This window comes from Homo sapiens, chromosome 4, assembly GCF_000001405.40.
Source record: "Homo sapiens chromosome 4, GRCh38.p14 Primary Assembly".
Classification (NCBI taxonomy): Eukaryota; Metazoa; Chordata; class Mammalia; order Primates; family Hominidae; genus Homo; species Homo sapiens.
In genome coordinates, this window is record NC_000004.12 from 165053612 (window position 1) to 165070022 (window position 16411).

At 43.8% G+C, this 16411-nt stretch overlaps 1 protein-coding gene across 1 annotated transcript, besides 1 other annotated feature; it reads left to right on the top strand.

The window, feature by feature from the left end:
- Positions 1–254: 254 nt before the first annotated feature.
- TRIM75 (tripartite motif containing 75) lies at positions 255–6943 on the top strand. Its single transcript, NM_001396070.1, has 2 exons — positions 255–337; positions 5189–6943. The coding sequence occupies exon 2, from the start codon at positions 5537–5539 to the stop codon at positions 6941–6943; it is 1407 nt and encodes a 468-aa protein (NP_001382999.1). The 5' UTR covers positions 255–337; positions 5189–5536.
- Positions 15758–16257: an enhancer, noted in NCBI's record as "H3K27ac hESC enhancer chr4:165990521-165991020 (GRCh37/hg19 assembly coordinates)". NCBI's record gives its function as "activates a minimal SCP1, AML or CMV promoter by ChIP-STARR-seq in primed H9 embryonic stem cells {active_cell/tissue: H9 hESC(primed)}" and the evidence as "EXISTENCE:reporter gene assay evidence [ECO:0000049][PMID:30033119]".

Below are 16411 nucleotides of genomic sequence, written 5' to 3' on the forward strand. Positions count from 1 at the left end.
GAAATCTCCTTTAGTCTTTCTCAACTTCTCTGTTCCTTTTCACTCATCTAAATAAGGTGGGCTCTGGTTATTTGCATGAGCAAATGCAAACCTGCCCTATTCAGTTATTACAAAAAAGACTCCAAAGTTCTTAGATCAAGGCCAAGGACACTTAAGTGCTTACAGGGAGGAAGCCTCCCCCACCCTCTCTTGCCCCTACCCCTCCCACTTCCAGGTGGAAGCTGGTCTTAGCTGGGTGGAGTCCTCACAGCTGCACTTTCCATGTGTGTTTAGTTAGTATCTAGTGTGTGGCCTTTTGCACGGATAAAGGACCGCCGCAGAGCTCCCCCTGCTCCAGGTAAGCTGGGAAGTGACATTCCGTGGGTGCGGGAGGCTGGAGTGTAGTGAAACCCGTGACCTCTTGAGCACCTGCTCTGTGCCTAGAGGGAGCTTGCACCTCACAAGGGAACCTGAATTCGGCATCAGGTTATTTAATGTTTTTATTTTCATTTATTTTTTTGAGACGCAATCACGCTCTGTGACCCAGGCTGGAGTGCACTGGGGTGATCTTGGCTAACTACAACCTCTGCCTCCTGGGGTCAAGCAATTCTCCTGCCTGTGCCTTCCAAGTAGCTGGAATTACAGGCACTCTCCACCAGTCAGGATAATTTGTGTATTTTTTTTTTTTTTTTTTTTTGAGACAGAGTCTTGCTCTGTTGCCCAGGCTGGAGTGCAGTGGCTATCTTGACTCATTGCAACCTCCGCCTCCCAGGTTCAAGTGATTCTCCTGCCTCAGCCTCCCCAGTAGCTGGGACTACAGGCATGTGCCACCATGCCCAGCTAATTTTTTGTATTTTCAGTAGAAACAGGGTTTCACCATGTTGGCCAGTATGGTCTCGATCTTCTGACCTCGTGATCCACCCGCCGTGGCCTCCCAAAGTGCTGGGATTATAGGTGTGAGCCACCGTGCCTGGCCCATTTTTAGTATTTTTGTATTTTTAGTCTCACCGTGTTGGCCAGGTTGGTCTCGAACCCCTGATCTCAAGTGTTCCGCCTGCCTCGGCCTCCCAAAGTGCTGGGATTGCAGGCATGAACTACCGCGCCTGCGGCATAAGGTTATTTTAAAACGCACGCCATTTATTTATTATGGTTCCTGATTTATTTACTAGTTTTGTCCTAAGTCACCGAAATGCTTACTAAAAAAAGTTAAGCTGAGAGCCCACCCTGTCCTAAGGAGTCAGAAAATGAGGTGACTGATATCTGTCTGGGAACATTCCCAGAAATGCTGGTCTGATGGCGAGTGTGGAATTACCTTCCAGGATGTAGCAGTGAGGGATGGTTTGTGTATAGAGTTGGGGGTGGGGTGGAGGGTTAGAGCCCTGATCCGAGGCCCTGAGGTCCCCATCAGGCTGTTTATGGACTTGATCTCCCTTTATTTAACCACTATTGCTTGCTTACAAAGGACAGACTAAGGCCAGGAGGGGTTAAGTAGCTCCCCCAAGGCCACACAGTTAATAAGGGAACACCAGGAATCAAACTCAACCATTAAAAAAAAATTTTTTTTTGTAGAAATGGGGTCTCACTCTGCCCAGATCTGGTCTTGAATTCCTTGGGCTCAAGCGATCCTCCCAGTTCTGCCTCCCAAAGCACTAATGTTACACGCGTGAGCCACTGTGCCTGGTAAGATAACTACTTTTTTTTTTTTTTTTTTGCGATGGAGTTTCACTCTTGTTGCCCAGGCTGGAGTGCAGTGGCACGATCCTGGCTCACCGCAACCTCCATGTCCCAGGTTCAAGTGATTCCCCTGCCTCAGCCTCCCGAGTAGCTGGGATTACAGGCATGTACCACCATGCCGGGCTAGTTTTGTATTTTTAGTAGAGACAGGGTTTCTCCACGTTGGTTAGGCTGGTCTCAGCTCCCGACCTCAGGTGATCCACCCACCTTGGCCTCCCAAAGTGCTGGGATTACAGGTGTGAGCCACTGTGCCCGGCGATAACTACATTTTACAAAGGAGAGGCGTTTGATACTGAGTCTTGACGCTGGAAGATGAGGCCAGAGGGGAAGCCTGAAATCTGAACAAAGAGAAGGAGCTAAGGAAAGAAAATAGTGGCAGGACCTGAGCTTTGCAGGACTCTGGATCAGCTGTCCAGAGATGCCTCAGGGCGAGAGAATGCACTCTGCTCCAGAAATTTATGCTTGATCAAGAAGTATGCTAGGCGTGGTGGTTCACGCCTGTAATCTCAGCACTTTGGGAGGCCGATGCAGGTGGATCACGTGAGCCCAAGAGTTCAACACAAGCCTGGGCAACACATGAGACGCTGTCTCTCTCTCCCTTTTTTTTTTTTTTTTGAGTCTCACTGTATTGCTCAGGCTGGAATGAAGTGGTGCGATCTCAGCTCACTGCAACCTCTGCCTCCTGGGTTCAAGCGACTTTCCCACCTCAGCCTCTGGAGTAGCTGGGACTACAGGCATCAGTTATCTACACCCATCAACACCCAGTTAATTTTTGTATTTTTAGTAGAGACAGGGTTCCACCATGTTGGCCAGGCTGGGAGACCCCATCTCTTTAAAATATATATATTTTCAGCTTGGCGAGGTGGCTCACACCTGTAATCCCAACACTTTGAGAGGCCAGGAGTTCAAGATCAGCCTGGGCAATACAGCAAGATCCCATCTCTATTAAAAATAAATAAGTTAATAAAAATGATTTTTTTTTTTTAAAGAAGTGATTCCTGAGACCCTCCAGTAAGGGTGAAATCAGCAGACTTGAGCTGAGGGATCCCTGCATTTTCCAAAGAAAGGTCTGTCTTCAGGACTGTCCCTTCACTAGATCCTGGGAGTAATTTCTGATGCCATGGACTATGCTGTCTGATAAAAGTGTGTTTTTATTACTGAGGCCTTGGACCACAGGGATTGATAATAGAGTGTTTCCGAAACCTTTCTGGGCATGCTCACATAATAGACAATCTATGTACCATGTCCTTTTTCTTTTTCTTTCTCTGTCTCTGTCTCTTTTTTTTTTTTTTTTTTTTTTTTTTTTTTGAGACAGAGTCTCGCTCTGTTGCCCAGGCTGGTGTGCAATGGTGTGATCTCGACTCACCACAACCTCCGCCTCCCAGGTTCAAGCCATTCTCTTGCCTCAGCCTCCCAAGTAGCTGGGATTATAGGTGCCCACCACCATGCCCGGCTAATTTTTTTGTATTTTTAGTACAGACGGGGTTTCACCATTTGGGGCAGGCTGGTCTCAAACTCCTGACCTCAGGTCATCTGCCCGCCTTGGCCTCCCAAAGTGCTGGGATTATAGGCGTGAGCCACTGCGCCCGGCCAATCCATTTTCTAAAATACAAAATTCTGAATGTGATGGCCCCTTGGTCCAAGGGAAAGAGATGATAGCTGTGAACAGAGTGAAAAATAGGTGGAAGGAGTAGGAAGATGCCCGCTTTTTTTTATCCTAGGATATACTGTGTGCATCAATATATTTGGTGCTATTATTTTGCTTTAAAATCTGCTTGATACTGCCTTGTATAGAATGTATGTTACACACATGTAATATAGTTTATTCTGCCAATACTGACTAGACATTTTCCAATGCTTCCTCTTTTTTGAAGTTCAAACTAGTACTGAAAATCACATTTTCAGCCTGGTGCAGTGGCTCACACCTGTAATCCTCGCATTTTGGGAGGGTGAGACAGGAGGATTTCTTGAATTCAGGAGTTTGAGATCAGACTGAGTGACATGGCAAGACCTCTAGAAAAAATAACAAGAAATTAGACTTCAGTGAGCCATGATCATGCACTGAGTGACCAAAAGAGAACCTGTCTCAACAACAAAAATATTTGTATATATGTTTGAATATTTGTTCAAGTCATCTGCATTTTTATAGGATTAGCATTGTCAAATTACAATGTCAAAGGAAAAACTTTTTAAGTATTTTTTTGTTTTTTGTTTTTTGTTTGTGTGCTTTTGAGATAGCAGTCTAGTCACCCAGGCTGGAGTGCAGTGGTGCGATCTCAGCTCACTGCAACCGCCGCCTCCTGGGTTCAAGCGATTCTCATGTCTTAGCCTCCCAAGTAGCTATTACAGGCATGTGCCCCCATGCCAGGCTAATTTTTTTTGTATTTTTAGTAGCGACAAGGTTTTGCCATGTTGGCCAGGCTGGTCTCAAACTCCTGAACTCAACTGATCCTCCCACCTCGGCCTCCCAAAGTGCTGGGATTACAGGCTGAGCCACCAAGCTCAGCCTTTGTTTCTACTTCACAGTCTACAGTGTTGGAATGTCTACATAACTGTTGCTTCTATGCTCGTTTGGAGAGCATGTTCCCATACATTGGGAATATGTTCAGTTTTTGTCTTTTTATTTTCTTATCTTGTAGGTATTTTGCATTTAGACATAATGACATTTTAGTAGTAAATACTGAAAATATTTTCGCAAATTTTGTTTATATTCAATGTGTTATCTCGTTGGGTTTCATTTCACAAATAGATAGGTCTTCTGTGGCCTATTCAACTGTAGAGAAGCAAGGATGTAAGAGCAAGGTAAATTTGGTAGATGTGATTTTGAGCCATCAGAAATACTTTTTGTTTTTTTCTAATTAGAGACAAGGTCTCACTCTGTCACCCAGGCTGGAGTGCAGTGCCACAGTGACAGCTCACTGGAGCCTTGACCTCTGTGGCTCAAGGATTCCTCCTGCCTCAACCTCCCAAGTAGGCTGGGACTACAGGTGCGCACCATCATGCCCAACTAATTTTTTTTTTATTTTTTTATTTTTTTATTTTTATTTTTTGTAGAGATGGGCTCAGTCTACATTGCCCAGGCTAGAAATAACTTACCAAGACAAAAGTTTAAAGGGAGATTGTCATTATTTACCTGATTCCAAGAATTTGGGATGTAAAGCAAATTTCTCCAAGTTACAGATATAGGTAACAAAGGCTGTATTTTAATTTGGGTGGTCTCTATGCCTCAGGGCCTAAGCTGTTCCCACAACCCCAGTTAGGATGACTGGTAAGTAGATGGGATGTGGGGATTGTGGTTCCAACTATGTGGAATAGCTAGGGCACAATAATAAAGGCATGGAAATAAAAGACTGGGACTAGGGGAGGATAATTTGTGTTTGGCTAGAATGTGGTGGAGGTTAGGACCACCTGAAATAAATTCAGGTTTGTTTCATCTTGTTTTGTTCTTAAGAAAGAAATATCTTCTCACCCACAGCAACCAATGATTTGAGGCAACAGCTGTTTTCCTAACAGCTGCTTAGCTTGGCATCATTTTCTCTGAGCAGCCAAAGGCTGGAAGAGCAGTTGTCTGGCTGAGCTGTGACTGCCGGCAGGCTGTGTGTGGGACTCCTTTTGGCAGTTGGAATTAAAGGGTCCGAAGATTCAAAGGACTTCAAGGGCTGCCACCAATGTGAGAAATCAGTGGGACTGTAGTGAGGTCATCAGCTGCCTCCAGGAAGGACAGTGAGATCTAAGAGCATATCTGCTTCTCACTGAAGAGTACCCACAGAACTCAACCTCTTGAAGAAAGCCCACCTTGGTCGAGACCTTCACCGACAGCCCAATGGCAGTGGCAGCAGCTCTGACCGGACTCCAAGCAGAAGCTAAGTGCTCCATCTGTCTGGATTACCTGAGTGACCCCGTCACCATCGAATGTGGGCACAACTTCTGTCGTTCCTGCATCCAACAGTCCTGGCTGGATCTACAGGAATTGTTCCCTTGCCCTGTCTGTCGTCACCAGTGTCAAGAGGGGCACTTCAGGAGCAACACCCAGCTGGGAAGGATGATTGAAATTGCCAAGCTACTCCAGAGCACCAAGAGTAATAAAAGGAAGCAGGAAGAGACCACCTTGTGCGAGAAACACAACCAGCCCCTGAGCGTTTTCTGCAAGGAGGACCTGATGGTGTTGTGTCCGCTGTGCACTCAGCCCCCTGACCACCAGGGCCACCATGTGAGGCCCATAGAGAAAGCTGCCATTCATTATAGGAAAAGATTCTGCAGTTACATCCAGCCCCTGAAAAAGCAATTGGCAGACCTCCAAAAATTAATAAGCACTCAAAGCAAAAAACCCTTAGAACTGAGAGAGATGGTGGAAAACCAAAGGCAGGAATTATCCTCTGAATTTGAGCACCTCAACCAGTTTTTAGACCGTGAGCAACAGGCAGTTCTCTCCAGATTAGCTGAAGAAGAGAAGGACAATCAACAGAAACTCAGTGCAAACATAACAGCATTTTCAAACTACAGTGCCACACTCAAAAGCCAGTTAAGTAAGGTAGTAGAGCTCAGTGAGCTGTCTGAACTGGAATTGCTGTCACAAATTAAAATTTTCTACGAATCTGAAAATGAGAGTAGCCCATCGATCTTTTCAATTCATTTAAAGAGAGATGGCTGCAGTTTTCCTCCCCAATATTCTGCTCTGCAGAGAATTATAAAGAAATTTAAAGTAGAAATAATTCTAGACCCTGAAACAGCACACCCTAACCTGATTGTATCTGAAGATAAAAAACGTGTGAGATTTACAAAGAGAAAACAAAAGGTTCCTGGTTTCCCAAAAAGATTTACAGTCAAGCCAGTTGTTCTGGGTTTTCCGTATTTTCATTCTGGCAGGCATTTCTGGGAGATTGAAGTGGGGGATAAGTCAGAATGGGCTATTGGCATTTGCAAAGATTCTCTTCCCACAAAGGCGAGGAGACCCTCATCAGCCCAGCAGGAATGTTGGAGAATTGAGCTGCAAGATGATGGCTATCATGCACCAGGGGCTTTTCCAACCCCTCTGTTGTTAGAGGTGAAAGCCAGGGCCATTGGCATTTTCCTGGACTATGAGATGGGTGAGATCTCATTCTATAACATGGCTGAGAAATCTCACATCTGTACTTTCACTGACACTTTTACTGGGCCTCTTCGGCCTTATTTCTATGTAGGACCAGATTCACAACCTCTCAGAATCTGTACAGGGACAGTTTGTGAATGAAAACCCACCTGTTAGGCTGAACTATTTTACTAGTTGTTGTCGTCATTTTTTTTGTTTTTTTGTTTTTTTTTAATGGAAGATGCAGAGGCTATTGTATTAACATATGTATGAATATAATCCCTTTAGTTTTTTTCTTTTACAGTTTCCAAGAAGAAAACTTTATGTTGCTCTAACAACTATCTATAAAACAGTGCTAAGAATGGCTCCCTCCCAGGAATGTCGTGGGGGTTACCTATCATGTGCATGGACCTGGCACATTGCTGAGTATAAGGGTGATTATTTCTGTTTTTCAGAAACTGCAGATGGAGCTTGCAAGGGATGAAGCAGAACAAACTTACCAATTTTGTCTCCTCTGTATAAAGGTTGGATTGTGCTATTCCTGACACATACTAAGCAGGGAGCAGGTTGTAACCCTTAGTTAAACCACAGGGCACAATTTAAGGGGATGGAGTGGGCATCACAGGGAGAGGGTAAGCATTTTTAGCCTTTAACATGTGGGGCTTTGACAGTTTTTTCTGTTATCCCCAGAAGCCACCTACTGGTGGCATTCACTACATTAGATTTCTGCTCCCAAAACTTTTATTTCTTCCTGTATTCTTTGCTATTGTGCATAGTACTTTGGAATACAGTGACTTATGACACTGGAGAGAACTGGAAAATCTTGTTACTAATGGACATTACCGTTAGATACCATGTCAGAGACTAAAAGATGAATCACTGGGCAGGATGGTATACCTATATTTACTCAGAATGTTTTCTTATAAAGACAGCTAACATATATTGAGCCCTAACTATGTCCCAGGAGTTGCAGTATTTTCAGAACAACTCTGAGACGTAGGCAGTGTGCTGTTAAAAAAAAAGAGTTTAAAATCAAGAAAACAGTTTCAAGACAAAGTATCCTAGTTAAGATGACTCAGCCAGTGGTAAAGAGATGTCCGGGGGTGCCTTCAATCACTGACAAACCAGACCCTTAAATGGTTTGTCAATGGAATGCTTTATTACACAGAAAGTAATAAGGTATTATTTTTCCCTCTGACTATGAAAAAGGAGATGTCCACAGGTCCATGTATAAACTCTTAGGATGCTACACTAACATAACCAGAAGGATCTGGGTTTATATCCAGGTTCTGCTAATGTCTGGTAGTGGGCTTAAACGCGGGCGTAAAATGGACATAATACTTTATTTTGCATGAAAGTTATGAAGGTGAAGTTATATATGTGTGTGTATGCGCCAAAGTTAATTTATATATATGTGTGTGTGTGTGTATATATATATATATATATATATATATATATATATATATATTTTTTTTTTTTTTTTTTTTTTTTTTAAATAGAGACAGGGACTCACTATATTGCCCAGGTTGTTCTTGAACGCCTGAGCTCAAGTGGTTCCACCTGCCTCAGCCTCCCAAAATGATGGGATTACTGATGTAAACCACTGCACCCAGCCCTTATCTACTTTATTTTATTTATTTTTCAATTTTTTCAGAGATGAGGTCTCACCCTGTTGCCCAGGCTAGAGTGCAGTGGCACAATCATAGCTTACCATAACCTTGAACTCCTGGGCTCAAGGGATCTTCTCACCTCAGCCTCTAAATAGCTTCGATTGTGGGCTCATGCCATCGCACTTAGCCAATTTTTTTTTTTTGAGATAGGGTCTCGCTCTGTTACTCAGGCTGGAGTGCAGTGACAGGATCATGTTCACTGCAGCCTGAACCTCCCAGGATCAAGCAATCCTACCATCTCAGCCTCCTGAGTAGCTGGGACCTCAGGCATGTACATGCCACCGTGCCCGGTTAACTTTTTTTTTTTTTTTTTTTTGAGACGGAGTTTTGCTTCTGTCACCCAGGCTGGAGTGCAATGACGCGATCTCAGCTCACTGCAACCTCTGCCTCCCGGGTTCAAGCGATTCTCCTGCCTCAGCCTTCCAAGTAGCTGGGATTACAGGCGCCTGCTACCCAGTTAACTTTAAATTTTTTAATTTTTTTGTAGAGACAGGGTCTCACTTTGTTGCTCAGCTTGGGCTCAAACTCCTAGGCTCAAGTGATACTCCCTCCTCCACCTCCCAAAGCACTGGGATTACAGCATGAGCCACCACGCCCGACCCATCCAGGCAATTTTTATTTATTTATTATTTTATTTTATTTTTTAGTAGAGACTGGGTCTCACTACGTTGACCAAGCTCATTTTGAACTCCTGGCCTCAAGTGACCCTCCTGCCTTGGCCTCCCAAACAGAGTGCTAGGAATATAGGCATGAACCACTATGCCCAGCCCAAAAAAAGATATTTCTGACTCAGCGAGGGAAATGTGAGTATGGCAGGGTGTTAGGTGAAAACAGGGAGCTGTTAATTCTGCTAGGTGTGACAGCATTGTGATTGAGGAAATGCTCTTATCCAGAGTAAAATATTTAGGGGTGAAATTGTATTTCTATGATTTCTATTAAAGAGCTCCAGCCAAAAAAAAAGAAAGAAACAAGGCAAATGTGACAAAATGTCGATAATTGTCAAGTCTAGGTGATGGACGTTTTACTTTATGTACTATTCTTTGTGCTTTAAATAAAAAGAACAAGCAAAAATGTTTCCCTTTATCCATATGTTCTGAGTTAAGGTTTCTGTATGACTGCCACTTCTACCTGAAGTTTGACTGGGCCCACTTACAGTTGAATGAACATATTTATCCCTACTCTCCCGTCTAAAACTCAGTGAAATTGTGTATTTTGACTAGTTTTAAATTTCTTAAGATTTGAGAAACTAGCTATTGAGCTATAAATATTAATAACTGTCCATTTCCTTAGAATTGGACCCAGTGCAAACTGGATCACCTTTAAATATTTGTTATCAAATGGGATCTGTATTGGCTATATATACATGTGTATATACATATATATGTATATACACACACACACATATATATATATACATATACACTTTTTTCTTTTTTTTTTTTCTTTTTTTAGTCTCACTCTGTTGCCCAGGCTAGAGTGCAGTGGTGCGATCTCTTCTCACGGCATCCTCTGCCTCAGCCTCCCAAGTAGCTGGGATTACAGCTGCCTGCCACCACACCTGGCTAATTTTTGTATTTTTAGTAGAGATGGGGCTTTACCATCTTGGCCAGGCTGGTCTTGAACTCCTGACCTTGTGATCCATCCACTTCAGCCTCTAGGATTACAGGCGTGAGCCACTGCGCCCATCCATATATAAATCTTTTCTAACCACTAGGCAACCAGGTATATATATACATATATATATGATATAGGTACCATATATATGAATATCATATATTCTTTTAATAAGATAGTGTAAGAAAAAACATGGTGCCTCTTTTTTTTTTTTTTTTTTTTTGAGACTGCTGTTGTCATCCAGGCTGGAGTACAATGGCATGATCTCAGCTCACTGCAACCTCCGCCTCCTGGGTTGAAGCAATTCCTCCTGCCTCAGCCTCCCTAGTGAGTGGGATTACAGGCATCTGCCACCACGCCCAGCTAATTTTTGTATTTTTAGTAGAGACGGGGTTTCACCATGTTGGCCAGGCTGGTGTCGAATTCCTGACCTTAGGTGATCTGCCCACCTCAGCCTCCTAAAGTTCTGGGATTACAGGCATGAGCCACCGCGCCCAGGCCAGCCTCTTCTATTGTTTAATACCTAGTTTTCTATATAAATTATGTTATAAACTTTTCAGGATTACACTTCACTTTTTTTTTGAAACAGGGTCTTGCTTTGTCACCCAGGCTGAAGTGCAGTGGCGTGATCTCGGCTCACTGCAACCTCCGAGCCCCTCTACCACACCAGTCTCAAGCGATCCTCCCACCTCAGCCTCCCAAATAGCTGGAACCACAGGCCTGCACCACCACACCTGGCAACTTTTTGGGGTTTTTAGTAGAGACGGTCTCTACCCAGGCTGCCCAGGGTGGTCTCGAACTCCTGAGCTCAAGCGAACCACCCGCCCCTAAAGTGCTGGGATTACAGGCACGAGCCATTGTGCCTGGCCACATTTCACTTTTGGTTTCCATTTGGGTAACTATTTTTTATTATTATACTAGTAATTTTACGTGCTTACTAAAAATCAAATAATAGGCATATAAATAAAAATTATTAGTGTAACCTCACCTATCCGTACACGTGCACACATTTTTGGTATATATCTATAGAGATTTCTTTGGCCTACATATACTAGTTTATGTAACTTCTTTTTATATGAACTAATCTGTAATAAGGCCAATATTAGAATTTGAATGATAGGAAGAAAGTAGATCATAAATTTGTTAGTACATTTTGGGACCTTAAGAAGAATGGGAAGCCAACGAGAAGCTTGAACCAGGGAACTGATACAATCAGATTTTCCTGTCTCATTGGCTGTATCACTCAAATTCTAAATATTAGTCTTAGCTGGATATATAAATTTAGAAGTCAGCAGTAATTGCATAGAAACTAGGCTGGGCGTTGTGGCTCATACCTGTGATCCCAGCACTTTGGGAGGCCGAGGCAGGCAGATCACTTAAGGTCAGGGGTTCAAGACCAGCCTGGCTAATATGGTAAAACCCCACCTCTACTAAAAATACAAAAATCAGCCAGGCATAGTGGCACGCACCTGTAGCTACTCAAGAGGCTGGGGCAGGAGAATGACTTGAACCCGGGAGGCGAAGGTTGCAATGAGCCAAGATTGCGCCACTGCACTCCAGCCTGAGCATCACAGTGAGACGCTGTCTCAAAACAAAACAACAAAAAAAGTGAAAACTACAACTTTAAAGTTCCAGAAGCAGAGAGGATGGTATACAGATCACAAGAGGAATGTTCAACCTTTGACATGTGGAGAGGTAATTCCTTGATTTTAAAAACTGTTCCTGGCTGAGGGCCGTGGCTCACACCTGTAACCCCAGCACTTTGGGAGGCCAAGGCGGGCAGATCACCTGAAGACATGAGTTCAAGACCAGCCAGGCCAACATGGTGAAACCCTGTCTCTACTAAAAATACAAAACTTAGGCCAGGCACAGTGGTTAACGCCTGTAATCCCAACACTTTGGGAGGCCGAGGTGGGCGGATCACGAGGTCAGGAGTTTGAGAGCAGCCTAGCCAACATGGTGAAACCCTGTCTCTACCAAAAGTACAAAAAAATTAGCCGGGTATGGTGGCACATGCCTGTAATCCCAGCTACTTGGGATACTGAAGCAGGAGAATCACTTGAACCTGGGAGGTGGAGGTTGCAGTGAGCCGAGATCGCGCCATTGCACTCCAGCCTGGGCAACAAGAGCGAAACTCTTAAAAAAAAAAAAAAAATTTAGCTGGGCGTGGTGGCATGGGCGTGTAGTCCCCAGCTACTGGAGAGGCTGAGGCAGGAGAATCACTTGAACCCAGGAGGTAGAAGTTGCCCCACTGCACTCCAGCCTGGGTGACAAAGCAAGACTCCATCTCAAAAAAATAAAAAATAAAATAAAAAAGGTTCCAGTGGAATTGTAAAAACATAAATAATAGAAAATTTAAAAAGGTAAGGAGGAGTGGATGGGATCAATATAGGTCTCATAAATTCCTTATGAGAAGTTGAGGGATTTCCCATCTCATGACCTCTTTTTTGTTTTTGAGACAGAGTTTCACTCTTGTTGCCCAGGCTGGAGTGCAATAGTGCGATCTCGGCTCACTGCAACCTCTGCCTCCCGGGTTCAAGCGATTCTCCTGCCTCAGCCTCCTGAGTAGCTGGGGTTACAGGTGTGCACCACCACGACTGGCTAATTTTTTTATTTTAGTAGAGACAGGGTTTCACCATGTTGGCCAGGCTGGTCTCAAACTCCTGACCTCAGGTGATCCACCCTCCTCGGCTTCCCAAAGTGCTGTGATTACAGGCGTGAGCCACCACGTCCGGCCTCATGACCTCTATTTTTAATCCTGATACACACAATTTTTTTCAATTAAAAATTTTTTCTTGGTGTAAATTACTACAAAACATTATACATATTGTGGATCTGGTTTCAAGTCATATAGAAAGTCATTTCCTATACCACGATTGTAAAAATGGTCTCCAATATTTTCTCGTATCTTCATGCTTTTTAGAAGCATGCTTTTGGATGGGCATGGTGGCTCATGCCCGTAATCCCAGCACTTTGGAAGGCCAAGACCGGAGGATCACTTGAGGCCAGGAGTTCCAGACCAGCCTGGACAACATAGTGAGACCTCATGTCTACAATAAATAAATAAATAAATTTAAAAAATAAACAGAAAAAGGACCTTTTAGATTACTGTGGGCCCAGAGAGCTGATTAAAGAAAATCTCACTATCTCTCTTGATTCCTAATTTAATCACACTGCAAATTCTCTTGCTATGTAAATTAAAATATTCATAGGTTCTTGGGATTAAGACATGAACATCTTTGGGGCCAGGACATGATTTTGTCTACTACAGTCCATCTTCTGGTCCCAAACATGAACATCTGTCTTACATGCAAAATACTTTCACCTCAACTCAACATCTCCAAAGTCTCAACCTGTTACTATTGTAATATTGGTCACACAACTTTATGACCATTTTTCAAAAATCATAGAACTATATACCAACAGTGAATTTTATTGAATATAAACATTAAAATGGGTATAGAAAAAGAGGAAACAGCAAAGGAGACTGAGAAGTCACCAATAAGGTGGGAAGAAACCAAGAGATTGTGCTGACCTGGAAGCCAAATAAAGAAAGTATATTAAGGAGGGTGTAATATGGCCGGGCAAGGTGGGTCATGACTGTAATCCCAGCATTTTTGGAGGCCGAGGTGGGCGGATCACCTGAGATGGGGAGTTCGAGACCAGCCTGACCAACATGGTGAAATCCTGTCTCTACTAAAAGTACAAAATGAGCTGGGTGTGGTAGCACACACCTGTAATCCCAGCTACTTGGGAGGCTGAGGCAGGCGGATCTCCAGAGGTAGGGAGTTCACGACCAGCCTGACCAACACACAGAAACCCTGTCTCTACTAAAAATACAAAATGAGCCAGGCATGGTGGCACGTGCCTGTAATCCCAGCTAGTCAGGAGGCTGAGGCAGGAGAATTGCTTGAACCCCGGAGGCAGAGGTTGCGGTGAGATGAGATCACACCATTGCACTCCAGCCAGGGCAACAAGAGCAAACTCCCTCTCCAAAAAACAAAAAACAAAAAACACCACTTTTTTTGTTTTGTTTTTGTTTTTTTTGAGACAGAGTCTCGCTCTGTCGCCCAGGCTGGAGTGCAGTGGCGCGATCTCGGCTCACTGCAAGATCCGCCTCCCAGGTTCATGCCATTCTCCTGTCTCAGCCTCCCAAGTAGCTGGGACCACAGGCGCCTGCCACCACACCCAGCTAATTTTTTGTATTTTTAGTAGAGACGGGGTTTCACCGTGTTAGCCAGGATGGTCTCAATCTCCTGACCTCGTGATCTGCCTGCCTCGGCCTCCCAAAGTGCTGGGATTACAGGCTTGAGCCACCGCATCCGACTTTTTTTTTTTTTTTTTTTGAGAAAGAGTCTCATTCTGTCGCCCAGGCTGGAGTGCAGTGGCGCAATCTTGGCTCACAGTAACCTCTGCCTCCCGGGTTCAAGCGATTCTCCTGCCTCAGCCTCCCGACTAGCTGGGACTACAGGCACGCACCACCACGCCCGGCTCATTTTTGTATTTTTAGTAGAGATGGGGTTTCACCATATTGGTCAGGCTGGTCTCAAACTCCTGACCTTGTGATCCACCCACTTTGGCCTCCCAGGGCTGAGATTACAGGTGTGAGCCACCGTGCCCAGCCTGAAACAACATCTTTTATATACTAAATTCTCATATACACTTTGGTCTATTTCTAAATTTACTATTTAGTTTCATTGATGTAATTATTCATGGGCAGTAGCACACTGTTTTAATTATTATATTATTATAATACACTTAATACCTTGTAGAATTAATCCTCTCATACATAGATTGAGAGAGAATTGCCATGTTTATGACGTCAAGACTTTCCATCCAAGGACACAGCATACCATTTCAAGTCTTCTTTTTATTCTTCAGTGGTGTTTTAAAGTTTTCTTCAAAAAGATCTGGGTACTTCATCTTTTTTGTTATTATTGTAAATGGGGCCTTTTCTTCAATTGTGTCTTCTAACTGGTAGTTGCTTGTATTAAAGCAACTGATTTTTACCTATTAATTTCGCACCCAGAACCTTACTGAATACTCTTATTTATATATTTTTGTGATAGTTTATCTTTTCTTTTCTTTTCTTTTTTTTTTTTTTGAGACAGTCTCGCTCTGTTGCCCAGGCTGGAGTGCAGTGGTACAATCTCGGTTCACTGCAACCTCTGTCTCCCAGGTTCAAGCAATTCTCCTGCCTCAGCCTCCCAAGTAGCTGAGATGACAGGTGCCTGCCAACACACCCAGCTAATTTTTTTTATTTCTCGTAGAGATGGGATTTCACTATGTTGGCCAGGCTTGTCTTGAAATCGTGACCTCAAGTGATCCGCCCCTCTCAGTCTCCCAAAATGCTGGGATTATAGGCGTGAGACACCACACCCAGCCTGTGATAGTTTTTCTACTTAGGTTCTTTGGAGTTAGCTGGTAGTCAATCCTTATTTGATAAGAAAATGCAATCTATATAACTCCATATACGTTTTCTTATCTAAATGTTTTGTTGGATCTTCCAGAACAATAAGAAATAGCAATAATATGAGTGAATATTTTTATGAACATGTCTGGTGTTTCCTACTAACTTTATCCATTTATTTTATTTTATTTTAATATTATTTTTTAAAAGATAAAGAGATGGGGCCTCACTAAGGTGCCCAGGCTGGTCTCAAACTCCTGGGCTCAAGCAATCCTCATACCTCGTCCTCCCAAAGTGCTGGGATTATAGGCATGAGCCACCATGACTGGCCATCTGTTTTCTTTTTTTTTTTTTTCCTTTTTTCTTTTTTTTTTTTTTTTTTTTTTTTGAGACGGAGTCTTGCTCTGTCACCCAGGCTGGAGTGCAAGTGGCACAATCTCAGCTCACTGCAAGCTCCGCCTCCCGGGTTCACGCCATTCTCCTGCCTCAGCCTCCCGAGTTGCTGGGACTACAGGCGCCCGCCACCATGCGCAGCTAATGTTTTGTATTTTTAGTAGAGGCGGGGTTTCACCATGTTAGCCAGGATGGTCTCGATCATCTGAGCTCGCGATCCACCCACCTCGTCCTCCCAAAGTGCTGGGATTCCAGGCGTGAGCCACCGCGCCCGGCCATGGCCATGTGTTTTCTAATAGGTTATTTTTATCTTATTCATTTAAATTACAAATGTGGGCTGGGTGTGGTGGCTCACGCCTGTAATCTCAGCACTTTAACAGGAGTTCCAGACCAGCCTGGCCAACCTGGTGAAACCCCGTCTCTACTAAAAATACAAAAATTAGCTGGGCGTGGTGGCAGGCACCTGTAATCCCAGCCACTAGGGAGGCTAAGGCAGGAGAATCGCTTGAACCTGGGAGGCAGAGATTACAGTAAGCAGAGTTT